Consider the following 27,621-nt stretch of genomic DNA (forward strand, 5'->3'; position numbering starts at 1 on the left):
GTGGCTCACATCTGTAATTCCCAACACTTTGGGAGGCTGAGGTGGGAGGATCACAAGGTCAGGAGTTTGAGACCAGCCTGGCCAATATGGTGAAACCCCATCTCTACTAAAAATACAAGAATTAGCCAGGCGCAGTGGTGCACACCTGTAGTCCCAGCTACTCCCGAGGCTAAGGCAGGAGAATCGCTTGAACCCGGGAGGCGGAGGTTGCAATGAGCCAAGATTGCACCATTGCACTCCAGCCTGGGCAACAGATCAAGACTCTGGCTCATTAAAAAATAAAAAAAAAAATAAGACAATTGAAATGCTGTGTTGCTCATGAATATTATGATGATGTTGTTTTAAGGAAGTTTGCAGTTGTATGGCTTAAAACTTCTTTTAGAGAGACATCTATTCTCTATTGAAAACATTTTTTGAATTAGACTTCTCTTAGAGTGGCCTCCTTGTAGCATTTTTTTAGTGGATTTTTTTTCTTTTTACTTTTTATTATAGAAGTTTTCAAACTTCACACAAAAGTAGAAAAAATAGGATAATGAGCACCTATGTACTTATTATCCAGTTTTGGTAATTATCAACATTTTTCATTTCCCTTCGCCAAAATGTTGGAATATGTTGAATCAAATCTAAGATATCACAATATTTTATTTGTAAATATTTCAGAATTTATAATAAAGACTTCCTTTTTTAAAAAGTAACATCACGCCTGTAATGCCGGCACTTTGGGAGGCCAAGGTAGGTGGATCACTTGAGGTCAGGAGTTCAAGACCAGCCTGGCCAACATGGCAAAACCCTGCCTCTACTAAAAATACAAATATTAGCTGGTCTGGTGGCAGGCACCTGCAATCCCAGCTACCTGGGAGGCCGAGGCACAAGAATCGCTTGAACCCGAGAGGCGGAGGTTGCAGTGAGCCTAGATTGCGCCACTGCACTGCAGCCTGGGTCACAGAGTAAGACTCTGTCTCAAAAAAAAAAAGTAACAACAATACAATTGCACGTAAAAAATTATCAAAATTCTTAATATTCAAATTGTCTTAAAAATATATTTCTATAGTTGATTTACTTAAATCAAGATCCAAACCTTTTAGTTTATATTTTGGAAGCTATTTCAGCTTTATACTTATTCTAAAGGAAAATGAATGACTACAGCTGCAACTTGAAATTGAAATCATTATAATAAGAGAAAGCTAGAATGAGAAATGGGAGTCTCACAATAGGTTTGGGTTTTATCTGTAATACTGACCTAGGGTTCTATTACATGATGTTTGAGTCTTTTGCTACTGCAATAAGAAGAAAAATAATTTTTCTAAAGTACTGTGGTGTAAGAAGCATAGAGAGTTCGAAAATAGCCTGTCTGTGGGCATTGCAATCCCCTGAAGTTGCGTGATCTGGTCAACATCTCAGTCTTTGAAAGTCTTCTGGTTGTAGCTCCTACTTCTCTATTCCATACTCTCTCTTTTCTTCCTTGTAAGTATTTCCAAAGGACTTGTCTGTGACATTTGTACCTTGGTTCTCCTATTTTACAATCATGCTTCAGTTTTTTTTTTTTCTTTCTCTTCAGGACTCCTTGCATACCTCTTAAGACATGAACCTAATATTTTTATTGGACTTCATTGTTTTTACAGTTGCTTTAATATGACTGCCATTGCAGCCCTCAGGTATTCTTACAAAAAGACACTTAATTAATTACTTTATTGGTTACTAATAATTATCAGACTATATGAGGTTTCCCTTTCAATGTAGGTGGGTAGGAAATAAGTAGCAAAGGTAGTATTTAAATAGAGAAAATGTTAATATGTTTATATTGGGGGGATTCTAAAAATAAATAAACACACATCCTCTGTGAAGTCCTACAACATACCCTCTTACAGCTATGAAAGCTAATGAGAAAATCATCTTTATTGATTAGGATCTCAAAATAGAGCCTTTTATCTTGTCTACTTCTTTTCCTCAGGTTCCATTTATTATCATAAAATCACCACTGCTATTCTTCTCTTTGTAATACCGTCTACAGTCCAGTTTATTAAAGCTGGGTAGAGTGATAGTTAAGATCCTAGCGTCTGAAATCAGCTTGGATTCAAATCCCAGCTTCATTACTTCTTAGCTGTGTTTTTGGGAAAATCATTTAGTCTTTTCTGTGACTTGGTTTCCTCATCTATAAAAATGGGTGTAATATACCTACATACCTACCTTATTATATATTTGATTATAGTTTGGCAAATATTCACTCCTATCTCCCTTGGGGTAGAGTATTTTTTCCTCCCTGCCAATGTTAGTCTTGGTCATGGGATGTGGGTAGAAGTGACAGTGTGCCAGTTCCAAGCATCCTGAACCCAGGCATCATGTGTTTCCGTTTGTACTCTTACACTCCTACCGACACCGTGAGAAGAATACGCTCCACGTAGCTGTTTGTCCTGAATGATAAGAGACATATGGAGCAGACCTGCTCCAACACACACCCTGGAGCCAAATCTACCCTGCTCACAGCTGGAAGCAGAGGTATGCAGCAGAGCTCAGCCTAGCTCACCCAAACAATAGTTGCCCTGCAGACTGATGAAAAAGATAACTGTTGCTGTAAGTTACTGGGTTTTTGGGTGGCTTGTTACAAAGTGTTATTGCAGCAATAGCTAACTAACACATAAAATTATTGGAAGGATCAAATGAGATAATTTATGTAAATAATTTAGCATAGTGCTAGCCATATAGTCATGCTCAATTCAGGTTGCTATTATTATAATATTATTATTATTTTACTTTTCTGGGTACAAAAATCTAAGTTATATACTGTGGTTAATTAATAACACAGTGTTAGATCCTCTACAATGAGCAAGAGTCTGAGTTGGCTTCCACACAGCTCTTGGTATTGACCATAGATGGTACTGAATCTGGCAGATGTGGACAACTCTCTGACTCTCCCTGTGGCTCATGTGGTTCCACCCCTTTTATCCTTCACCCTATTCAATATCTTATCTAGTTTGTGGGGTGTGAAAAATTGTCTCACAAGCATGCATCTGAATATTTTGTCTTACGTTTATTCCAGTGGCTATTAAACTCCATGCTTGCTACCTTTATTCTCTAATTTCCCCAAATAGAAGACTCCTATACAGGCTATGAAGGGTGAAAGAAAGAGGAGGAAGTCCTTTGAGATGTAACTCAAGAAATTATATGAGGTAGTAGGAAGGCGGAGACAGATAAGAAGTAATGAGAAGTCACAACTAACATTTTTCTTAAGTTTAAACTTAGTTTGCTATATATATTTTAGTTTCCATTACAGTTAATACCTGGGGTTACATTGTTACATTCAATGTGTTAAAAAGGAAATGTGTTTATCAAAAAGACTATTACTAAAAATGTGAACTCCACATCATCATGTACGTAATATCAAGTCAACAAACATTTTGGGGGGCACCTGCTATGTATCTTGTAGTGAGACATGATAACATAATACATACTATATTTTACTGATTCTGAGACACACATTTGTTCATATTTTAATGTCTCTGAAATCAAGATGTAGCTGGGACTATGGGCATGCACCACCGTGCCCAGCAGAAGTATAATTTTTCTTGTTTTTGCAAAGTGAGATAGTTATTATGCATTGGGCTCTATTATCCAAAATATTCATTCCTTCACTTCATGCCTATGTTCAATTAGATACCAATTCCTAAGGGTTCTGTCGATAAGATAACTCTCAGATAAAGAATTCCTCCCAACCACTACTGTACTAGACTAAGCAATCATTTATTACCTCTTGGACTATTGTAAACCCCTCTTATGTAATTTATTATCTCTGATCTCCCTTTCTGCCTTTTATCTGTGGTCAGGGTGATTATCCTATCTCACATTTATGATCATATCTCTCCTATATTTAAAAAGACACAGTGAGGCCAGGAATGGTGGCTCACACCTGTAATCCCAGCACTTTGGGATGCTGAGGCAGGTGGATCGCTTGAGGTCGGGAGTTCAAGACCAGTTTTGGCAACATGGCAAAACCCTGTCTCTACAAAAAATACAAAAATTAGCTGGGTAGGGTGGCACATGCCTGTAGTCTCAGCTACTCAGGAGACTGAGGTGGGATGATCACTTGAGCCTGAGAGGTAGAGGTTGCCGTAAGCCATGATTGCACCACTGCACTCCAGCCTGGGCAACAGAGGGAGACCCTGTCTCGAAAAAAAAAAAAGTGGTTTCAAGGACTCCCAGAAAAATGTACGTGCTCTTTTAGCATAATATTCAAGACCATTGACAATCTGGTCTTATCCTACCTTCAAAGTGACCTCATAGCCCCCTTTAATACATTCATCCCAGCATACTGAATTATTCACTCTTCCCTTAACTCTATTTGTACTTTCACATCTTGACACCTTTGTTTATATTATGCTTTCTGCCTAGAATGCTCCTCCCCCTTCCTCCCTTACCTGACAATATCCTACCCATCATCCTTCAAGGCCCAGCTCAGAGGGTCACTGCTTCTGTCCCTCCTTCAGGATTAGTTATCTGCTTTTCTTAATCCCCATCTCACTTTTATTTTTACTTTTTTTTTTTTTTTTTGAGACCGGGTCTCACTCTTGTTGCTCAACCTGGAGTGCAATGGTGCAATCTTGGCTCACTGCAACCTCTACCTCCCAGGCTCAAGCAATCCTCCCACGTCCCCTTCAGGTAGCTGGGACTACAGGCATGTGCATGCACCATACCCAACTAATTTTTGTATTTTTGGTAGAGGCAGGGTTTCACCATGTTACCAAGGCTGGTCTTAAACTTCTGGGCTGAAGTGATCTACCCACCTCAGCCTCCCAAATTGTTGGGATTACAGGCATGAGCCGCTGTGCCTGGCCTCCCACCTGACTTTTAAAACACCTTTATCATTTATGTTTATGTTCACAGTGGCTGCTGTGTATTTAGTGGGCTCCAAATACAATGTTTGTTAAATATTTATAGTGCAGCTACTTGGGAGGCTGAGGTGGGATGCTTTCTTGAGCCCAGGTATTTAATGCTGCAGTGAGCCATGATCATGCCACTGCACTCCAGTGTGGGTGACAGGGCAAGACCCTGTCTCTAAAAAAACAAAGTTTGTTTAATAGAGAAAATTTATTTCCTCCACTTTACCCATTTTTATGCAATATAGATGAAGACAGCAAAAGGCAAATTCACAACAGAAGTTTGGTTAATGAAATGTACATGGAACATATACCCTAGGATATAAACACATTTAGCACAGTCCACTCTCATTGTACTTTACAACCACACATTGTGGCATTAATAAATCTGACGTATTACAAAATCTTCACAATCTAAGTATTTTAGGGTATATGTCCCACCTCCTAGAAGCCACCAATAAATACCGTGCTGCCCCACTAGCTGCCCAAGATGCTCTTTTTTCATCTCAGGTGGGAGAGTCCACTGCCTGGTGTCAGGACGTTGCTCCATATGCCTATAGGTTGGGAGAGCAAGATTCAAAATCTTTGTCTTCCACAGTGGAAGGCAAGGTTATATATCCCAACAAGACCACACTCAGTGAGGAATTCCTCCAAAGGTAAAAGCCCAAAGGAGTGTTACAGTGTTTTCTCAGACTACTCACTGTAGCCACTTTATAGCAATTCATTCTATTAGGAAAGTGAATGGAGGTCTATAAAATAATTTTGAAAGGGCAGGCAAAGATCAAATTGTGCAAACATTAAGTACTCCAAATCAAAACATGACTGACCTGAAAATTCATCCTATGGATGTACTGGCAATCTTTAAATGCAAACTTTGAAAGGCAAATTTGGTAACCCACATACTAAATGTCAATTAATTAGAATGTTTAGGCCACATGTAGTGGCTCAGGCCTGTAATCCCAGCACTTTGGGAGGCCAAGGCAGGCAGATTGCGTGAGTCCAGGAGTTCAAGATCAGCCTGGGTGACATGGCAAAACCCTGTTTCTATAAAAAATACAAAAATTAGCTGGGCGTGGTGGGGCATATCTGTGGTCCCAGCTACTCAGGAAGCTGAGGTAGGGGAATCACTTGAGCCTAGGAGGTTGAGGCTGCAGTGAGCCAAGATCGCACCACTGTACTCCACCCTGGATGACAAAGTGAGGCCCTGTCTCAAAAACAAACAAAGGAATATTTAGGGAATTGAATCTTCTTGTTAAATTTCTAACTAGCTGTGATTAAGCTGTTAAAAAGATCCACAAACATTTATATTTCAGATCTCGCCACTAAAAGTTTTGCTGTCACCCACGCTGGAGTGCAGTGGCATGATCATGGCTCATTGCTGCATTAAATGCCTAGGCTCAAGAAAGTACCCCACCTCAGCCTCCCAAGTAGCTGCACTATAAATATTTAACAAACATTTTATTTGGAACCCACTAAATACAAGCACATTAGCAGGCACTGTAAACATAAACATAAATGACAAAGATGTTTTAAAAGTCAGGTGGGAGGCCAGGCACAGCGGCTCATGCGTGTAATCTCAACAATTTGGGAGGCTGAGGTGGGTAGATCACTTCAGCCCAGAAGTTTGAGACCAGCCTTGGCAACATGGTGAAACACTGCCTCTACCAAAAATAACAAAAATTAGTTGGGTATGGTGCATGCACATGCCTGTAGCCCCAGCTACCTGAGGGGGAGGTGGGAGGATTGCTTGAGCCTGGGAGGTAGAAGTTGCAGTGAGCCAAGATTGCACCATTGCACTCCAGGTTGAGCAACAAGAGTGAGACCCGGTCTCAAAAAAAAAAAAAAAAAGTAAAAATAAAAGTGAGATGGGGATTAAGAAAAGCAGATAACTAATCCTGAAGGAGGGACAGAAGCAGTGACCCCCTGAGCTGGGCCTTGAAGGATGATGGGTAGGATATTGTCAGGTAAGGGAGGAAGGGGGAGGAGCATTCTAGGCAGAAAGCATAATATAAACAAAGGTGTCAAGATGTGAAAGTACAAACAGTTAAGGGAAGAGTGAATAATTCAGTATGCTGGGATGAATGTATTAAAGAGGGCTATGAGGTCACTTCAAAAGTAGAATAAGACCAGATTGTCAATGGTCTTGAATATTATGCTAAAAGAGCATGTACTTTTTTCTGAGAGTCCTTGAAACCTCTCTTCTTTTTTTCTTTTCTCTTTTCTTTTCTTTTGTTTTCGCTGCAAAAGCAGAGATGCCCATACCTTAGAGTTTTCCTGTGGTCTGACCTGCTGAACCCCTGGCTCCTGCCTGTTTCCCAAGCTTCCCCAAGCCTCCCTCAGCCTCCTAGGACCTATGAGCTCTGCTTCTCCACGTCCCCTTCCCCCTTCTTCCAGTGTTATTTTTTTTTAGACAGTTAGAGTTTATTATTGTTATTTGCAAGCAAGAACCCTGACTGATACTATCAGTACTGCAAGGGAGCAGAGAGTTCTGGACCTGGAGTCAGATTGCTGGGCCACTTAGTAAATGTGTATCTTCCAGCAAATGCTTGATCTCTTTAACCCTCCATTTTCTCATCTGTAAAATGGGAGTAAAACCAATAATTATGTCATAGGGTTCTTGTGAGGATTGAATAAAATAATCTCTATGAAGTATTTAGCACAAGCCCTGGTACATAAAGAAGCATTCGATAAATAGTAGGTTTTGTTATTACTAAAATTCTTTGTAATGTCCATGTGTTCACTCCACAAAACTCTGTTGCTCACTACATGAAAAACGCACCCCCATGCATACTGTGTTCAGTGTGGCGCTTAATTTTTTCCCAAGGGGTTTGGTTTGTTTTGCTTTATTTTCCAGTTTAGGACTTCAGTGCCTTTCCACACTGTATATCCTGAGATTTTCTTCTGGGCACAGCTTCTGGTCACTCTATCTGTATTTTCTTTCTTCATTTTTGTTGTACCAGCTCTGCTCCACCTCCAGGCCACCAAAAGGTGATCAGCTGCAGGTGGAGAGGACAAAATTGGTTGAAGCACGTCCTTTTTCTGCATCTGGTATACAGGGTTAGCAGCTTTAATGAAAATTTAAAAAACGAAACAAAACAAATGCACAGTCTATATCCTAAGACTTATTATGGAATCCTTAATTTATCTACTTAGCTTTTGATGGATTTTTTTTTTCTTCCACTGAAATGTATAATGTCCTCTCATAGTTAAACTGCAGAATCTTTTCCACTCAACTTCCTCGTTCTGGGATATAATAAATAGACAACGTATGGCCCAACAGCACACTGGAGACAAATTTTCTGTGATAGAAAAATGTTTTTTACTACACATAATGTTTCTCAAAGGAAGTAGGTCAAAACATAGATATCAATCCTCTATAACCATTTACTGAATACCATATTTGGTTTGAGAATATTAAAATGTAGTATGTTACTTTTCAAAGGTTGAGCATATTGCTATGGCTATTTTAATTTCCATAGCAGCTAGATGTAAATTAGAATAAAGAAGAAATTAAAATTATTTACCATCTCTGCATGCTTTATTTTCCAAAAAAAAAAAATGTGATAAAAAGGCTCAGCAGAGAGGAGCAGCAGAGTAGTATAGGTAAAAGCATCTCTCGCCTTTGTGGGAGTTGGCAGGTTGGGGCTTCTGGCCCGGATGGGCTGCCTCCTAGTATAACCCTGTGCTCAGCCTCACTTCCCTGAGGTGTGAAATAGAGACAATAACACCCTCAGTGTTGGTTGTGAGAAATCAATAACATAATATGTGCAAAATACTTGGCTCACAGAAGGAATTCAATACCCAATAATTGATGTTATAGCTCAACAAAGGATTGTGAGAGATTTAATAATTTTAATGATATTTGATTATCTAAAGGAAATATGATTTTATCTAAAAGGAATATTATTTTAAGTCTACACTAGTATCTATATAAATCAAAGAGAAGAATTCTGATTTCATCAGTGGATATTATCAAGGAAGGCAGTGGCAACGCAAGATAACTCAAGACACTGTTAAGTTTTATAGTTACTATAATTTTGAATAATTACTGAAAAATGTTCTCTGTTTCAGTTGGTCCTGGTATAATATTTCTTTGGGGCCACAACTCCAAAGAAACTATTTTTGTTTGGATACTATTTATATATTAAATAATTAGGCAGATGATGCCTCAAATCTACCTGAGTCAGAAAACTCCATTTTAAAAAATTAGTAAACACAAGATTGAGTCATAGGGTAAATATATGTATGAACTATAAGTATCAACGTAAAAGCCTCCGGTATTTACTAAACATAAGCTTCTTTATTTCTGTATACCTGAATTGAATCTCTGTTTCATAAGTCTACTATGCTAAGAGGCAGAAATGAAATCTCCATATAATCTCAGTTGATTTGGAATTCTCTTGCCCACCTCCTACACCTCCTAGTGCCTTTCTCATCAGGCTGGCATCTACATGGGGGGTATGGGGTGGGGGGCATCTACTCCACAGCCTCAGTCATCTCTCCAGCTGGCATCCTCTGAGATAGAAGTCCTCGTGGAGTCTCTGATCAAACATTTTGGGTGCAGGGCTACTCTGCTTCTGCAGTCTCTCAAAGCCACAGCTCTTTTACTCTCTGCTGCACATGAAACATACACGTTATGGTAGGTAGAGCATACTTATGGTCACCCCAGGACCTTCTGCCCAGGCTCCTCCATATACTATGCCTACCCTACGGTGCCTGCCTGTACCATGTTGGATTGGCCTATTCTGTAAGGCTCACTGCTGTTCCAGGCTCCATCTCAGAAGGGAGACAGAGTCACCTCTTCTCTCTACCCTCTGCCTTCAGATTTCCTCAAACCCATTCCCGTTTCTCCCCCCAACCCTGGGCACTGGGACCTGGTCGGAAATCTAATGTCTAAGCTCTTTTGCTCATTTGCTCCTTCCTTCTCCCAACCCCATAGAATCATGTTCTCTTTCTGGACTGGGAAAATTCCCTTTGGCATATCATTCCTTTTCCTAAACCTACGTTTATGGCCAACTTTATAATCTGAATCCTTCAGGTCACCAAGTGTTGACACAAAATCTCGGCTTTTCAGGCTGCTCTGTCTATGGAATAGCCATTCTTTTATTCCTGTACTTTCTTAATAAGCTTGCTTTCACTTTGAAAAAAAAAATCTAGGCTTTTCAAACTTGAAGAAAAATGTTTTCTTTCAAACCATTGTTTCTGTCTTGAATTTCACATTTCCATTTTAAAACCCAAAATCAGGCCAGGCACAGTGGCTCACGCCTGTAATCCCGGCACTTTGGGAGGCTGAGGCGGGCGGATCACGAGGTCAGGAGATGGAGACCATCCTGGTTAACACGGTGAAACCCCATCTCTACTAAAAATACAAAAAAAATTAGCCAGGTGTAGTGGCAGGTGCCTGTGGTCCCAGCTACTAGGGAGGCTAAGGCAGGAGAATGGCGTGAACCTGGGAAGTGGAGCTTGCAGTGAGCGGAGATCGCGCCACTGCACTCCAGCCTGGGTGACAGAGCGAGACTCCGTCTCAAAAACAAAACAAACAAAAAAATCCAAAATCATGGCCAACTTATGCTTTTCTGTGAATTTCTTTTTCTTTTCTTTCTTTCTTTCTTTCTTTCTTTTTCTGAGACAGGGTCTCACTCTCTCACCCAGGCTGGAGTGCGGTGGCCCGATCATGGCACACTGCAGCCTCGACCTCCTGGGCTCAAGTGATCCTCCTACCTCAGCCTCCCAAGTAGCTGGGACCACAGGTGCATGCCACCATGCCCCACTAATTTTTTGTTTGTTCATTTGTTTTTTGTAGAGACAGGGTCTCACTATGTTGCCTGGATTGGCCTTGAACTCCCTGGGCTCAAGCAATCCACCTCCCTCAGCTTCCCAAAGTGCTGGGATAACAGGTATGCAACTGGGGCTGTGAATTTCTTCTGTAACATCCTCACCCTGAAGCAATGGATGCCAAATCTAATTTGAATAAATGAGTGTGTGAGATAGAAAAGAATTAGTGGATACAAACAAAACAAAAACACTTCTTAATATATCAAAATATCTCACCACAAGTGGAAGTTGTCTTACGCTTTAGTTTCTCCTTAGTTGCCTGACCTAAATTATTTTTTAGTTAATGACTTGAGAGACTTACTATACAAATGGACAGACCATGCATGACAAGAGAACTCTGATCTACAACTGCTGCAGCAACAAGGCAGAGAAGCCGAACCACCATCTCTGGCTTCAATCAGAATGGTTAGGACTTGGTCAATGCCTGCCAGCTTCTTAATTTCTTACTGCCACCTCCATACCCTCTCCCTCTTCCCCCACCACCCTTCCAACTCAGGACCAACCATCGAACTCCAAATATCTCCAAATATGCTCCCCAAACCAATCACATAAGATGCCCTGCTTCTAGTTGCCTGGCCTTTTGGATAGCCTTCCTCAGCTTCTCCAGGCCAACAACATCCAATCAGAGCACACCTGAAGCCTTTCTTGTTTTTACACTGTGAAACTTTCCCACTCCCACACCTGCCTTTGAATCTCTGCCAAATGCAAGTGATGGTGGCTGTCTCCCTTACTTTAAATAAATAGCCTTTGTTCATGAGAACACATGGACACAGGAAGGGGAACATCACACTCTGGGGACTGTTGTGGGGTGGGGGGAGGGGGGAGGGATAGCTTTAGGAGATATACCTAATGCTAAATGACGAGTTAATGGGTGCAGCACACCAGCATGGCACATGTATACATATGTAACTAACCTGCACATTGTGCACATGTACCCTAAAACGTAAGTATAATAATAATAAAATTTTTTTAAAAAGCAAAAAAAAAATAGCCTTTGTTCTCATTTGGGTGGTCTTCATTTGTTTCCACAAACTTAATACACATAAAGCTGTTATATTCTAGATATGCACACTGATAGTTGAGCTTCATGCTTTTTTGTTTTTTGTTTTTTAGCATAGATATTTGGATTAAATACATACTGGGCTTTGATTTCTGCTTTAATGGATAAAAATTAAAAATTATAACTTGAAATGATTTTTTCCTTAAATTTATACGTATTGGTATACTTCCCTCAATGGGTACAATTGGAATGTTCTTAGACGTGTATATTGAAATCTCATTTTTATAGATTAAAATTATTACCTTTTGGCAAATTACTATTGAAAGAGACCCTATTAGATATTAATTTCAAAATGAAGAATATTGATTATGCAGGCAATTAGTTCTCATGTGTCAAGTTTCCTTAAATTGGTACACATCTGTATCAGTTTATACATATAAACCTAAGTAAAAGTAAAATAATAATGATCCTCAGAAAAGTAAATAATATACACTTGTTTATAGAAATTTGTGCTGTTTTATTTTTAGTTACTTTAGGAGACATTATGTGGCCACAACACAACAGCCCAAAATATAAATTACTGTTCTCATTTCACAAATAAAGAAATGAAGAGTAAGGCAAAATGCTCGAGACTTCACTAGTGTAGAGTGAAGCCCCTCATTCTCTTGCCAAAAACCCGGAGTTGGCTTGAAGCTACTGACAGGGAGTTTTGTTTGTTTGTTTGTTTTGTTTTCAGACACAGTCTTCCTCTGTTGCCCAGGCTTGAGTGCAGTGGTGCGGTCTCGGTCACTGCAACCTCCGTCTCTTGGGTTCAAGTGATTCTCCTGCCTCAGTCCCCTGAGTAGCTGGGACTACAGGCATGCACCACCATGCCCAGCTAATTTTTATATTATTTTAGTAGAGGTGGGGGTTTCAACATGTTGGCCAGGCTGGTCTTGAACTCCTGAATTCAAGTGATCTGCCCAACTCAGCCTCCCAAAGTGCTGGGATTACAGGTGTGAGCCACCACACTTGGCCTCAGGGAGCTTCTTTTACCCCTGTGACTGAAGGAGAGCCCCCATCCTTTTGGGAGGGTTGTGATCTTCACTTTGCATGGCAAAGGGGGCCAAGATGTTCTTGCAACAGCAAGGAGGGGAGGGGACCCCACTTAGATGTGTGCCCAGCTGGGTTGACAGAGCTAATGATGGCCAGATGACCCACACATACAAATAGTGCAAAGGAGGGTGTCTTTCCACTGTGCATTTGTCCACAGTGCACTTAAAATAAAATCCTGAGCCTTTACCATAACCTGCAGGCTTCATATAATCCGGCCTCTGCATTCCTCTTTTACTCCTTGTCCTGCCACTCTTCTTCTCATTCTCTACATTCCAGATACCTTTCAACTTCTCAAACATGCTGAGCATATCCATTCTTCAGCTCCTTTAAAATTCTGACCAAAACACTTTTCTCTAGGATTCTAAAATCTCTGAATGGATAGTTCCTTCTCATCTTCCCTGTTTCAGGTCAGATTTCTCCTCAGAGAAGTCTTTCATGATCATTTTAGCTAAAGCAGACACTGCCAATACACCCACCTTGTATCACATTGTCCTTTTATGTTACCTGTCTGGATTTAAAATTATCTTGTTACTTGTTTGCTTGTTTGTTGTCCCCTTTCCAGACTGTAAGCTTCAAGAAATTTGGGGACTTGTCTGTCATATTTGCTGCTGGATCCCAAGCACCCAGAACAGAGGGACCTCAGTATATATTTGTTGAATAAATGAATGAATAAATCATGAACCTCAATTGAGAATATGATGTCAGATATGTACTCACTCTCCAGAAAAAAAAGTGGACTGAAAAAAATGCATTTTAGGAAGTTTCAGAGCCTTGGAAGCTCATCTATAGACACCTGCTTAAAATCTGGCATTATTGTTGTGCTCTTTCATATTATTTTTGAAATTGATTCTAGAATTCTGTTCTTTGCAATTAAACATTCACATGAACTTCAAAAGTATGTTTTAGATACAATATAACAAATCACAGACCAAGCACTGCTCACTGGTTTTGAATAAAACAGACTCCCAATATTTATATTAATTTATATTTATATTTAATTTATATTAATGGGTCCTAATTACATGACCATATTTTAATGAACTGAAGATGCCTTTGTGGTACAAACATGATGTGCTTACCCATATCCAGTTCTCCTCTCTTTTGTGAGACGTGGAAGGATTAAACTTCCTAGCTTCCCTCGCAGTTGGGCAGAGCCATGTGACTAATTCTAGCCAATGGATTAGAGGAAAAAGTGACATGTCACTACAAGATTGTAGCATTTAATTGCTGGTGGGAGATCCTCCAGGGCTCTATTTTCCCCTAGAGTAGTGACTGTGGAAGCACAGTTGATACGGATGGGCAGTACCAAGCCATCGCATGGAGGATAGTTGCTGTGGAGAGTCACACAGATCTTCACCTGACTTTGTTTGAGCAACCTTTAAGTTCCTGAGGTTTTCTGATGATTTGTTATTGCAATACAACCCAATGGAGCCTAACACACCACTGCTTGGAAAAAGTACTGCCAGGCACTGTGGCTCACGCCCGTAATCCCAGCACTTTGGGATGCCGAGGCAGGCAGATCACGAGGTCGGGATCGACACCATCCTGGCTTAACAGGGTGAAACCCTGTCTCTACCAAAAATACAAAAAAGTACCCGGGTGTGGTGGCACGTGCCTGTAGTCCCAGCTACTCGGGGGGCTGAGGCAGGAGAATTGCTTGAACCCGGGAGGTGGAGATTGCAGTGAGCCACGATCGCGCCACTGCACTCCAGCCTGGATGACAGAGCAAGACCCTGTCTCAAAAAAAAAAAAAAAAAAAAAAGAAAAAAAAATGTACTGATATTTTATATACCATTGAGAAATAAAGATGCCATTTATAATTGTAAGAGTTCAGTGTAAGATGCATTACAATCTTACAGATGTTAAAATGGGAAAAATGTGGGCCTTAGATTCGATAAAATACAGATTGTTAAAGAAATTCAGAAAAGCAGATTCACATAGTGTCAAGAGCTCCAAACCTAGAGTAGGACAGAAAGTTATGGATTCAAATCCCAATACTTAATAGCTTTTCTCTCTCTCTCTCTGAGATGGAGTCTTGCTCTGTCGCCCAGGCTGGAGTACAATGGTGCAGTCTAGGCTCACTGCAACCTCCGCCTCCCGGGGTTCAAGTGATTATCCTGCCTCAGCCTCCCGAGTAGCTGGCACTACAGGTGCATGCCACCACACCCAGCTAATTTTTGTATTTTTAGTAGAGACGGGGTTTCACCATGTTGGCCAGGCTGGTTTCAAACCCCTGACCTCAAATGGTCTGTCTGCCTCAGCCTCCCAAAGTGCTGGGATTACAGGCCTGAGCCACCGCACCTGGCCAATAGCCTTTATCTTAATAGCTTATATAAGCCTTAGTTTCCTCATCTGTGAAATGGGGGTATAATAGTAGAAACAGCCTCATAGAGTTTTGTGATTATTAAATGAAGATAATTACTACAATGTGTTCAGCATAGTAATTATTTCACATATTTTAATCCCCATATTTGGTTAAATCACAGAGCTTTTCAAGATAAACATTAATTTCAAACAATAATACAGGAAAACTTTTTAACTTTGTTATTATATCATACTAATCAATCAGCTAGTGTTTATTAATTCCTCACCAGGCATGAGGACTCGGTCTCTGAGTTAAGTGTTCTTGGAGACAACAAAGAAACAAATGGGGAGGTTGGAGGCCTGAGGCAGACCACCCTGGGGTCTTCCCATCCTCTGTGTTTTCTAGGTGAATCAGGGTAGAATGATCATCAAGACTAGCCTTGAAGGGTAAAAGAAGTCACAAAATTGTACCTGAGGAATGTATGAAAGATCAGTCCTGTACCCATCTTGATGACTAGCAGGGGTAGTAGAGGGAAAATTGAGGATTAATTGCATGTCTGGAGCCTTGGGTGATATGTGTGGGTATAGAGAGAGAAAGCAAGCACGCAGGAGAGTGCTAGTGGTTGGGGAGCAAAAGGATACGTCATTGGAGCAGGAGTGGGGCTCCTCTGAAATGCGTATAATGTGTTGTTCCTACCTGTGTAGTTATACTCTTATGGATTATGAAGTTATTCAGGGAACATTATTTAACTCATGGTATATCTAAATTCATAAAGCATCATCTGTTGTTATAATTGTTTTCGTCTACAGTAGATATGAAGAAACCTAGGGTCATTAAAAGGTGTAACAATCATCATTACTTCTGAAGTTCATTCTAGACTAAAAGTTTTCCTCAGATATACTTTATGAGCCTTCTTTCTGTCACCAAAGATGTGCATTGTGGATTTCAATACAATGTTCTCACCTCAGTTTTCTGAAGGACATATGTTTGTGAAGGAACAGGTGGCTGTTTAATATCATTATTTTTATTAAATGCCTGAACCATCACAGAATAAGTAATTTTCTTTAAAGAAGTATAGCTGCCTCTAAATATAACTCTGGGCTACAGTTCACCTTTTCTGTTTATTTTATTCTTAACTTGTGAAACTGTATCTTAGGACTTGGGGTATATAACTTGCTATTTGATATCAGCTGCTCAACAGTGAATCAGTTGTAATGCTTCTGGCACCAAAGGAAACAGAGGGGACTTAAATATGTTTACAGAAGACAAAAAGCTGCTTTTTGCGTACAGTTTACAACATATGTTTCCACAGTTTTAGAATATTAAAAAGCCCCCCAAAAAGTTTTCTCACTATTTCCCTCATTAAAGACTAACAGGATCAAACAGAGAAAACAACTCTCCAACCCACATATTATTTATCAGATGTTTTGGATGAAATTCAATTTAAAAAACCAAAAGTCTCTCTCTTCCTCTCCCTCTCCCAGCAACAGCATTAGGGAGATACTCCCCACCGCAAAATACACCCACTCACCCACTGGCGAATGTTGCACTATCATTCCAGGAGTGGGGGGAGGTTGCTGCGACAGCTTTAGGCTCCTCTCCGCGTTATTGGGTCGTCGTAGGTGCGCTGTGGGCTGCTGCGGGCTCTGAGACCCGGCCACAGGACTCGCGGCTCACGACCTGAGTGTACCTAGATAGGTTCTCAGAGGCTACTGGGAAAATCGCAAATACAGGACGCCTGTACTGCAAAGCTCCCCTAAAACCTCATCAGTCTTCCTCTCTTGACTCTTGGGCGTCCCAGGAATTTTAACTTTTCCTCGGCGTAAGTGTTTCTCGCGCGGACCCCTTGCAGGCGCAAAGCCTGGCTCGCTCTGGCCTCCTGGCTTGCCCAGGATCTAGGCAGCCACGGGGAGCAGGGTGCAGCTTCCCCTCGCCTCCCCGGGACGGGGAAGAGAAGAAATCAGGAGGGAGGAGGTACTCAGCCCTCCTGGGTGCACTCCCAGATGTTTTTAAGTTGGCGTTTATTAAAAACAAAATGATGCTAAAATGCAAAATAGGCAACGTGGAGGTACTCAGCTCTCCTGCGTACACGCCCATGTATCTCTAATGTGACATTTAAGAAACAAAACAATGCTAAAATGCAAATTAGGCGATGTAATACCCAGAATGAGCCTCGTTTGACAGGCCAAACTGAGATTTAATGGAAAGCTTACTCATATCCCCACACGGAATTCATTCTTTTAGGAACTTAAAAAAATTGTGTAATTTTAAGTTCCACCACTGTCATAACGAACACTCCACAGTAACATGCAGTGGAACAATGGACACCCCCATATCGCATTGTGTCAGGTAATTATGAAGTGTCGAGGCGCGGGAAGGAGAAGCCGGGAACGTCAATGTGTCCTCTGCAACGTGTGGGAGCGCTCAGAGCCGCGCGTATCACAGAAACATCATCCAGTCGTCACCCCCAATGCCTCAACCCAGGGACAGGGACAGACTCAATCAGACCTCGGCCCCAGGCGTGGCAGGAGAGGGCCAAAGAGGGGACTTGTGAGCGCAGAGGGAGCGAGCACCGCTCCATGGAGGGCAGGCGCTAGCTGGGAAGTCGGGAGGAGAAAGTGCAACCAGGCGGGGAGGGGAGGATCCCACCGGGGCGTGGCGAGGGCGTTCGGGGTCCGGGTGAGCGGGACCCTACGCGGGACCGTGCGCTCCCAGAAGCTCCCACTCAGCCCAACCTTTTGGGCGAAACCCAGGACACCCAGATAAGGGTGCAGGCGGGGTCACGCGTAAAGCTGTTACTTTGAAGCAGGGCATAAGTGAGAGAGAGATAAAGAGAGAAGGAACAAGGGGAAAAAGAAATGAAGGGGCTGAAGGCCGAGATGTCCTACTTCTAAGTAGTTCTTTGAGAGGCAAAAGCTTCATTGCCATTGCAGTCCGAGGCAGCGCCGCGTGGAGGACCGGCCGGGCGGGGCGCGGGGACCTCTCCAAGGGGTCTCCAGCCTCCGCGCACTCTGCGGTGGCCCCCGGAGGGGGAAACTATTCTGGCAGCTCAGTGGGGGGAAGCTCGTCCGGGCTGTGGTTTCCTTTCCCCGAGACCCCAGCGTTGCACCCCCGAGGCGGCAGGCTCAGTCAACCCTCCCCGGGGGACGGCGGCCCTCTAGCCAGGCGACCTCAGGTCTCGCGACCTCCCGCCGCCCAACCTTCTCCTTTCACCCCCATTCATTTTTCCTCAGCGGCTCCTAGGACGGGCTCAAAAACCAACTCCACACGCAACCCAGCCCACCTCGCGGAGCTGAGAAGCAGGGCTGGGTTCCGAGCGGGCGCCGGCGCCCCTGGCGTGTGGCGGGGAGGTGGCGGCCGCGGGGGGCGCCGCGAGCCGCCCGTGCCCGCCGCGGATGAACAGGCGGCTGCGAGCAGCCCCCGGAGCCGCGCAGCATCCGCGTATCCAGTGACGGTGGAAGCCACGCCCGCTCGAGAGCCGGGGGGCTGTCCTCGCCCCCCCCACCTTTCCCCTCCCTCCGACCCCCTCCCGGCCGCGCTCCCTCCCCTCCTCCCGCGCCGGCCCCCGGCCCGCCCCCGGCTCGGCTCGCGGGAGGCGCTGGGCGCCGGGGCTGGCGCGCTCTCCCGGGCTCACACACAGCCGCGCACGCACGCCCGGGGCCGCTCTCCGCGCCGGCCCTTGCTCCCCGCGCCCATGCGGACGGACCGAGCGACGGAAGATGGCTGACGACTCCACGGGGCCCCGAGGATGCGGCCCGGCGGCGGCGGCGGCGGGAGCGGCAGCGGCAGCGAGGGCGGCAGGGGCAGCGGCAGCAGCGGCGGCGTTGGCTGCGGCGGCGGCGGCGGCGGCAGCAGGAGCCGGAGCGACGGCGGCGGCATCCCCGAGACTCTCCGCACTATCCTTACCCGTGACAGCCACTGACGTCCTCCGCCGCTAGAAGAGACCCCGCTTCTCGGCGCCTGCCCTCCCCCTCGCGGCTCGGTCCGGCCCCGCCAGCACCGCTACCTCCGCCAGCCTCGCCACCATCAGCACCACCTCCACCGCCGCCGCCGCCGCCACCACCACCGCCGGCGGCGGCAGCAGCCATTTCATCTCCACAGAAACCAGACACAAAAACATGGCAGAAATGGAGAAAGAAGGGAGACCTCCCGAAAATAAACGGAGCAGGAAGCCGGCTCACCCAGTGAAAAGGGAGATCAATGAGGAGATGAAGGTATTTTTTGATCTCGGGGGCCAGGGAGACTGAGCTCTTTCTTGCGCCCGCTCCCCGTGGGCCGTGGTATGGATCTGGGGGGTACCGGGGCGCGCTTGTCAGTTTCTGTAGGATGCCCAGAACGGCTCCGCTCCTCCTCCAGGTGTAAAGCAGAGGCCAACTCGAGGGCTGCATCCCCGAAATTGTTGCCAACCTCAGATTTGATGAGGGGGGACCACATACTATTTAACCTTACGAATCCCAGGTTGGCACGGACGCGTTTCAGGGCGAGGGCACCGGGGACTCGAGCGGCGTTGGGCAGGGGAAGAGGCTTTCCCAGTGGACGGTGCAGTTTCTCCCCCCTTTTTGAGAATCATCCTCAGGGTCCCTCCAAAGTTAGGAGCCTCCTGGCCGGGGCACCCCGGAGAGAGCTCTATTCCACCCCTCTCCCCCAGCTCACCCTCCTGCTCCTCAATCCCGCTTCCCCCCAACCAACCAGCTGCGACGGCGTGAAGAGCCCGTCAGTGCCCGGCGAGCTGCGGCCCGAGAGGCGCGGGTCTGGGCACGGTCCTGACCGCTCTCCTCGCCCGCCCCCGCCCGCACCTCACCACTGGCAGCCTCCGCCTCCCGCTCGCCTCTGCCTGCCTCACTTCCCAGCCAAGCAGACCCCGGCCAGCCCCGCTGGAGGACAGCTGTCTGAGGGGCGGCCTTTGCAGGGCGCCTGTCCATTGTTCGCTAAGGCCGGCCCGGAGTCCTCTCGGCGAGGCTGGGCTCCCCGCCAGGCCAGCGGTGCACCAGAGGTGGAGAGCGCAGCAGCCTGGCGCTCCAGCTGTTCGCGTTAGAGCAATTGCACAAGAGCACCGCTCAGCTCTGGACCCCCTCGTTGCCCCCCACCTCCTTATTTTCCATGAAGTTGCGGCTTTTGCCTGGGCGAGGGTTTTATTCTGTGTTGATTTCACGAGTCTCTATTGATATAAAACAATTTATTTATTTTTCTGCGAGCCATCAAAAAGTAGCAGGTTTGCATTTTGCGGTCTTCTTGGTGTTCCCCATCTTCTGCATGAAATCCTTAATACTACCAGGTGGCTTAATACTACTACTTGGCCAGTTTTGGTTCAGTTTGTATTTAAAAAACAAACTGGATGAAAATGGTGTGCAAGTAAGTCAAATTTATTGCGCTTTGACGCTTTCTTCATTAGAACAAGCATTTTCTATCATAGCTCACGCTTAGCAGGGGACGCATGGATATATATCATATATGTATGCGTACCTAGGTGCATATGCTTAGCTTTACTTCTCAGAAATGTCAGAAGCAACCTAAATATCAGAATTAGGGGTTTTATTACTGGATAAGGAACTTAGTACCTGGAAGCATGAGGTGCAGCATGAGTCCAACGGAGAGTTAAGGGAGATTTGCCTTGGAAATCAATGCTGTTTCTTATGGTGGAAACCACTGTTGATTCCAATGATGGACAGTTTTATTTTATTTTTTTTAAGACCGGTAGAAGTTGTTGTTTTTTGATGGGAACAAAATTCAAACAGTCCATAATAACCATTCTTCCTCACTTACCCTTACCTCCTGTCCTGCATTTCCAGTTTACTTTTGCATTTCATTTTAGGTTGGGGGTGGGGAAGGGGGAGAGAGGTGAAAGCCACTAGGAAATCACAAGGAGCTCTGGCCCTTTAAAACGCTGCCTAATGTGATCTATATGGATGGCAGCTTTTAAGTTTCATAGGTTCTAGAATTACAAATTAGCTAATTTTAATCAAAACATGTGAAATGTTATCCCGGCTGGATATAAAGGCTGACTGTGCTCGATGCTTGGGGCTCGCGTTGTTGATTTTGGCTGCAGGCGCAGTCCGTGGTTTGGGAGATAGTTGTCCTTCTGCAGTATAACAGATGTTTGTCTGAACTGGTGAGGAAGAAACAAAAACAACATTGTGTGAAGGGGAAAAATTACACAATTTTTAGCCGATGCTGCAGGACTAAGTATGGAATTAACCTTGGTGCACAGAATTTCCTCTTTTTAAAATATTATTTTCCTTCCAAATCACCACCCACTATTTGAAGTTTTAATCCTCACCCTTTCAATCCAGAGTAGCATTAAATAAGAAGTTTTACACGGCAAATAACTCAATTGTCTGTAGGATCAGTGTTTTCTCTCTTCTTTGGACCAAAGTAAAATACCCCTAACCAAAAATTTTAGTCATGTTCAAGTATACCATGCCTGAGAGTCTAGTGGAATTGTTTAGTAGGCATTCTTCTAATATAACAGCACCAAAAGTCCTCACTTAAAAAGTGGTTTCTCAAAGTCAAAAGGTGGAAGGATTATTTTGAGCTCCTTAATATCTTTCTGTTTTTAATATTAATAATCACATCAGCAAAACCCCTCCCCAAACATCATGATACTATTACTCCTCCAGCTCCCTGAACCTAAGTGTAGAGTAACATAACAAGTTGGTTGCCCTGTATATAAATGTGTGCAACAAAATGTCACCGAGAACACAATGTGGCCTTGTGCAGCTTCATATCGGTGCCGCTGGAGCTGCCTGGCTGTGTTTGCCTTCATCTGAACGGCTTTCATCTGGACCAGTGTAAACTAAGCCCTGGTAAGTAATCACTGCCCGGCAGAAAGAAAGGAATGTATACAGCTAGCGTGGCCTAAGCTGTAAAAACGGAAACCTGAGCCCCCACCTCGGATCACATATCAAGGCTTGAAGGTAGGGGAAATGAAAGGGGGAAAGAAGAGAGAGCAAATGGAAAAGTCAGCCTGGGAAGTGGAGGATCAGGAGGAGGCCCCCCTTAGGGAGATTTGGCTCAGGGATTAGGGAATTTTATCGTGGTGTACAGTGACCTACTCAGGTTTCAACACTGGTTGGATTGAGTTGCTTCTCTGTGAGCTGAAAGAAAAAGGACTGGTGTGTATGTGATTTTTTTTCCCCCTTCGGGTAATAGAAAGGACATTGGTACAAGTGTCTATTTTAAGTACAGCAAATGCAGGGCACTGAGAATGAGCAACAAACTTGCCTCATCACGGAGACTTCCTTCAAGATTTCCTAATTGAGATAGTCACATATTTATTTTAAAATGGCTGGAGAAGACAAACTGGCTGAGGTTTAGCTGACACCAGTAATGGCATTGAAGAGTGTCTTCATGTGGCTGAGAGCTAATGCTAGTTGCTGTTTCACTAGATCAGATATTGAGTTACATTTTCGTTATCACTGGTTTAATGTACATGGCAGTTGTAACAAATTTAAATTTGATACAATATAATTTTGTGTATGAAAAGTACATGACTTGGCATAGCTTGCTTGTAGTGTACTCCCTGAAAATATCTTCATGTAGAAATGTTTGTCTCACTATGACCTTTACAGTGTTTCTTTATCTTTCCTTTTCTTCTTCCCTTATCCTGGTTTTTCCTGATTAGAAAGACTGGTTGTACCAATGTACTTACAATTAGTCTGCCTTATTTAATTAGTGGCTAGTAGAATTTTAAAAAATCAGACAGCGATGCAGAGTATATGTTTCTAAAGTGAATGTTGTGATTGTGTCTAATGTAATATGTCTCAGGTATACTGTTAGCTCACATATATCATAATAAATGAATGTCACAAGGGAATTCTGACATATGGGAAGGTTAATTAGTTTTAAGAGTTCATCCAGAACATAGTAGATATAATATAAAAACTAACTTCTACTAGTGGATGTGTAAGCGTAAATATATGTGTAAGGTAAATATTGTTGCCCTTAAGGATATATATTTTGTGCACATAGATCTTTTGTGATCAGTAGCTACCAAACAACAATACAACTCAAAATATCCAAACTGTGAGTAGAGATTATGAGTTCAATTTTTGTCTTTTAAAATTCTTTGACAAAACCAGCATGATTAGATCAAGCATTCTGTGCTGGAAACTTTCCTAAACAAACCATAATTAATGCACTTACAATGTTTAACTTCTTTATCAATTGCTAAACTACAGGAGAATCTGTGTTAAATGTCAGAGATGCTTCTTTGCTGAAGAAGTTTTCTGTCTATAAATATTCTCAGTAAGTAATTTGTACCTAAAATTACGCTTCAGTCCTGATGCCTACAATTTGGGTCAGGCACATCTGTTAGAGTTTAGTAGTAAACTTACCACAAGATTTTCTAGTTTGTTTTCTGATGGTCTCAATTTGGCATTAAAAATAACCTGTGTCAATTGCACAGACAATAAAGCAAGTTGCAGAGCCGAGCTGGTGAGATAAATAGCTTGATTTTAAGAGAGAGAGAGAGAAATCAGAGCATGGACTGGAAAAGTCAGCAAGTTTAAGTTTGAAATTGGCTCATTATTAAAACAGGTATATTTTAAGTTTTGCTGTTGAAACTCTATCCTGGTGTCAGAAGCATAATTCTCAGGAACTTAGAAAGTGGACTTAGGACCCCAGATCCCACTGTGGCATTCACAAATTATGTTAGACTCCCCCTCTCTAAGCAGTGGCCTCAGGTGTGCCACGTGGCAGGGATGGGGACTAATGTTAGTGGGCACATAGCCCTGGCCTCTTGGGAGCAGGTATAAGATGTTCCTGAGCCTTCAGCCTTGCTCTCACTTGTCCTGCCAAAGGCTCCAAGCTAAACCCATAAAAGACTGTCCTGTGAGAGCTTGGATGGTTATGTATTATGGTCTGTTCAAACCAGGAGTTTTCTGGGAAGAGTCTCTTTCTCCATCCACGAACTGGTGTGATGTACGGTAGAGCGTCATTCTCTAAACTTACTTATACAACTCGCAGATTCCAGAGACGAGGAAATGGAAAGGAACCACTCCACTTCCTCTCGAATCTGAAATAAACATTTGAACTAGAAGAAAATGAGTCTGACAGACTCATTCCCTTCTGCGTTTCCTGCCTCTGTGCTTGCCAAGCACTGCTCTGAGAAGCCAAGCCCTACTCTCCTTGTGTGAAAGACAGACTTATAGAAACCAAGAGGTAACAGAATTTTTAAAGGAAAGTAAAAAACAGGGCCTTAAAAAAGGGCAAATATTAGTGAGCACAGTGGCTCTCTAAAAGGGAGAGTTCTAGGAAAAGGTAGTCTCTTGTTAGGGTAACCAAACTTTTTATATCTTATATAAAATTCCCTTTTATTTACTGACTCTTTATACTTAACAAAATTATTACAAGTAGTAGAAGGTATACCATCAAAATCCCTAAAGTCTAAAACTTCCTCTTGTGGAATGGGAATTCAGCCACACTTGTACTCTCAAGCTAATAAGATTATTGAATATGTTCCTGAAGGAGAGGGGATATTACAGGTTAGAAGAGGAAAAAAAAAACACGGAAGACTTTGTTTTTGATAGTGCCAATTGAAACATGTAAACAGACATGAAAGCATGTGGTAAGTGAGATTTGCTGAATGTATATTTTAGGATCTGTAGACCGATGGGTGTTAATATCTCTTATATAACCAAAGGCCTGTGGAACTCTGTGCTGCATTAAGGCCAGTGACTTTGGCACAGACAGGAAAACAATGTAACAAGTCTTGGTGATTTTTTAAGGCAGTTCTGCAGCTGTGAAAAGACACAGCTGCACACAGCTGTACACCTGCCATGCCTGCCACAATGTTAGCCTGAGGGCTGGTATTCACAATTTCACAGCATTTGTTTGACCTTTTTAGGACATTTGATGTCCTGGCAGCAGATTAAAATGTGGGGACATGATTGTTTGCTCTGTATCACGACGAGACAGTAAAACACCATACATTTTATATGCAGAACCACATGATTTTGGTTTCATATGCCAATTATATAGCCATCCAATTTAGGATATATCAATAAGAGAGTAAGACTTTCTTTTCCAGCCTGTTCCAAGTCAGAGTTGAGTATTAGTGTTAATGATATGTCCTCTGCGTTAAAATCATTGTGTTGTGGCTAAGAGCAATTCTGCAAAATGGAGCATAGGAACCATCTTCAAAGAATTTCAGGCTCGAAAGCTGTAGTTCAGGTAAAAACAGCAGGGTTCAGTATATAAAGTCTGCACTGAGTGGGAATCTGGCCACCCTTACTATTTCATTCACATTGATGACCCTCCAGTGGGTCATCTGTGGGGGTGGCTCATCTTAACTATACCATTGGATCCAGTGGGATCATGAAAGAGGAAGTACTTTGTAATCTGCAAAGGGCTCTTCAAATATTTCTTTTGCACTATTTAAATTTTATGTCATGACCTTTTTCTTGGCAGAACCATAAAATAAAACTGATCCACTGGGTCTGTGTTAAGAAAGACAGCTCAGACTCAGCCCTGGGCCAGGCCTGAGAGTAGAGCTAGAAACTGACTTCTAACCAGATTCAATTCCTGCTTCACTCTGGAACTTGAACAAGGCTTCTGCCTGTCTTCTGCAGATTACCTTTCTTTATCTCTATTAATGAGTCCAATGATGCCTGATAGATATCTACTCCAGAAGTAAGTCAGAGCATATGGAGATGGAAAGGGAGATAAAATATTTTTCAGAAATAACCATCAGTCTACTATTCATAACCTTAACTAGTAGAGATAGTAGCATTTTTCCCCCATGCTTTATAAATTGTTTGGAATTGGGAGTTTCTTTTTCCTTTGAAAGCATTTCTCATGTGCTCCACTTTCTTGGATAATGGGTGTCAGAATGTTTTGAAGTTAAGTAATGTAACCAACAAATCCTTTTTATTGTCATTAGGACTGTGACTATAGCTGATGTAATTGTCTATGACTGAGACTATGTGTTAATTTTTAATTAAAACTAGTTTTTTATTTTTATGAAAATAATACATGGACATGACAAAAAGAGTAGGCAATAAAAATAAGCAAAAAGAAAAACAAAGCCTGTAATTTTCCCACCCAGACGCAATTACTGTCAACATTTTGATATATGTCTTTTCATGCCCTTTCTCTATATATGATATATAGTTTTTATAAAAAAAAGTCTCATACTATACTAACCTTCCTTTTAAAACTTAATGTACTGTTAATAGCTTTTCATGGCAATAAAAATGTATCTACAGTATATATTTTAGTGGCAAAATAGTATTCCATTATATGCCCAAACTATAATTTATTTAACTAGGATTCCTATTGTTTGGCATTTAGTTTGTTTCTAAGAAAACAATGCTGAAACATGCATATTTCCATAGCTGTTTTCCTAGAATAGTTTCAACAGTCCCTAGAAGTAAAATTGCTAAGTCAAAGGGTATGTACAATTTTAAGGCTTTTAATGCATAGAGTCAAATTACTTTTTCTAACAGTTGTAGCAATTTAAATTCCCAATAGCATGAGGGTGCTTACTAATACTACATGTTATAATTTTTAAGCTTTTACATATTTATTTTTAAAATTAGGTTTTCCTGAATTTTATTTGATCATTTCTCTGTAACTGCGTTTAAATAAATATTTGTGACTGGATTAAGTGCTAAGCATTGTGTTAGGTGAGGCATAAAATGAAATTAAAGGTTCCTACCCTCAAGTAACTTACATTGTTTTTGGAATAGATGACATATTTTACTAGAACTGGGACTTGCAGTGAAAATGGGAATTATGTTTATGGGGAGGGGAAGGGCATGACTTGCCCCTCATTGGGTGAGTGATTGGGGGCTCTTTGAATACTTCCTGCTGTCTTGGGTAGAATACAAATTTGAAAACACATTGGCATTCAGTTTTGCAAGGCCTGGTATGAAAAAATCAGTATCTGTGTTTTAAAATCTACTTGTTGTTTTCAAAATAAATAAAATCACCAGTTCTTTTTGAAGATTTTGAAGTACTTGTGTTTCAGAGGTATTTTGCGAATTTGTAATTACTGCTATTTTCAGTGTTATGAAGTCAACTCTTTATTATTTACCTGGTAAAATGTTCAATCAAAAATCACGTAGTGTCATTCACAGCTCCTCAGAAAGAAAAAAAAAATCATGTAGGTTGAACTTTGACATTTGTACAGTACTTCCAGTTGAATAAGGAAGGTGTTTGATGAATATCCTGGCAGTGTAAGATGCAACAAAAATTATTTTGCTGGTATAGGAAGAACTCAGGAGGAGTAAAGACATAGTAAAATTTAGTTTCCACCTATCTTTCTGTGACCTTTTTTTGTTTTTGTTTTAATTCTCAGAAGAGATCATGCTTTCAGACTAAATGTTAGGATTGCCTTTTTTTCTTATGAACACTAGAGGTGAGAGAGGAGAATTGGAGAGGGAAGGAAAGAGGCAGGGAAATTATGTAGTAGAAGTACAAAGCAATTAGAGTCAGATGTAGTATCAAAACATTGTGAAATGAGGAGATTCCATTTTAATTGTGAATTTTGAGCACCCCTGTTAAGGAAACTAGAG

General features: G+C 42.5%; 1 protein-coding gene across 5 annotated transcripts in view, besides 2 other annotated features; it reads left to right on the top strand.

The window, feature by feature from the left end:
• Positions 18,725-27,621, top strand: part of SOBP (sine oculis binding protein homolog) — a 171,190-nt gene continuing 162,293 nt past the window's right edge. For all 5 annotated transcript variants that reach the window (NM_018013.4, XM_011535920.3, XM_047418962.1 and 2 more), the window contains exon 1: positions 18,725-19,320. In NM_018013.4, coding sequence (NP_060483.3) covers positions 19,225-19,320 — 96 coding nt within the window. In that variant the 5' untranslated portion in view covers positions 18,725-19,224. The remainder of the gene's footprint in view (positions 19,321-27,621) is intronic.
• Positions 18,955-19,004: a silencer, noted in NCBI's record as "silent region_17440". NCBI's record gives its function as "represses an Ori minimal core promoter by ATAC-STARR-seq in GM12878 lymphoblastoid cells {active_cell/tissue: GM12878}" and the evidence as "EXISTENCE:reporter gene assay evidence [ECO:0000049][PMID:35858748]".
• Positions 19,045-19,104: a silencer, noted in NCBI's record as "silent region_17441". NCBI's record gives its function as "represses an Ori minimal core promoter by ATAC-STARR-seq in GM12878 lymphoblastoid cells {active_cell/tissue: GM12878}" and the evidence as "EXISTENCE:reporter gene assay evidence [ECO:0000049][PMID:35858748]".

The sequence above is a fragment of the Homo sapiens genome, chromosome 6 (genome assembly GCF_000001405.40).
Source record: "Homo sapiens chromosome 6, GRCh38.p14 Primary Assembly".
NCBI classification, from domain to species: Eukaryota; Metazoa; Chordata; class Mammalia; order Primates; family Hominidae; genus Homo; species Homo sapiens.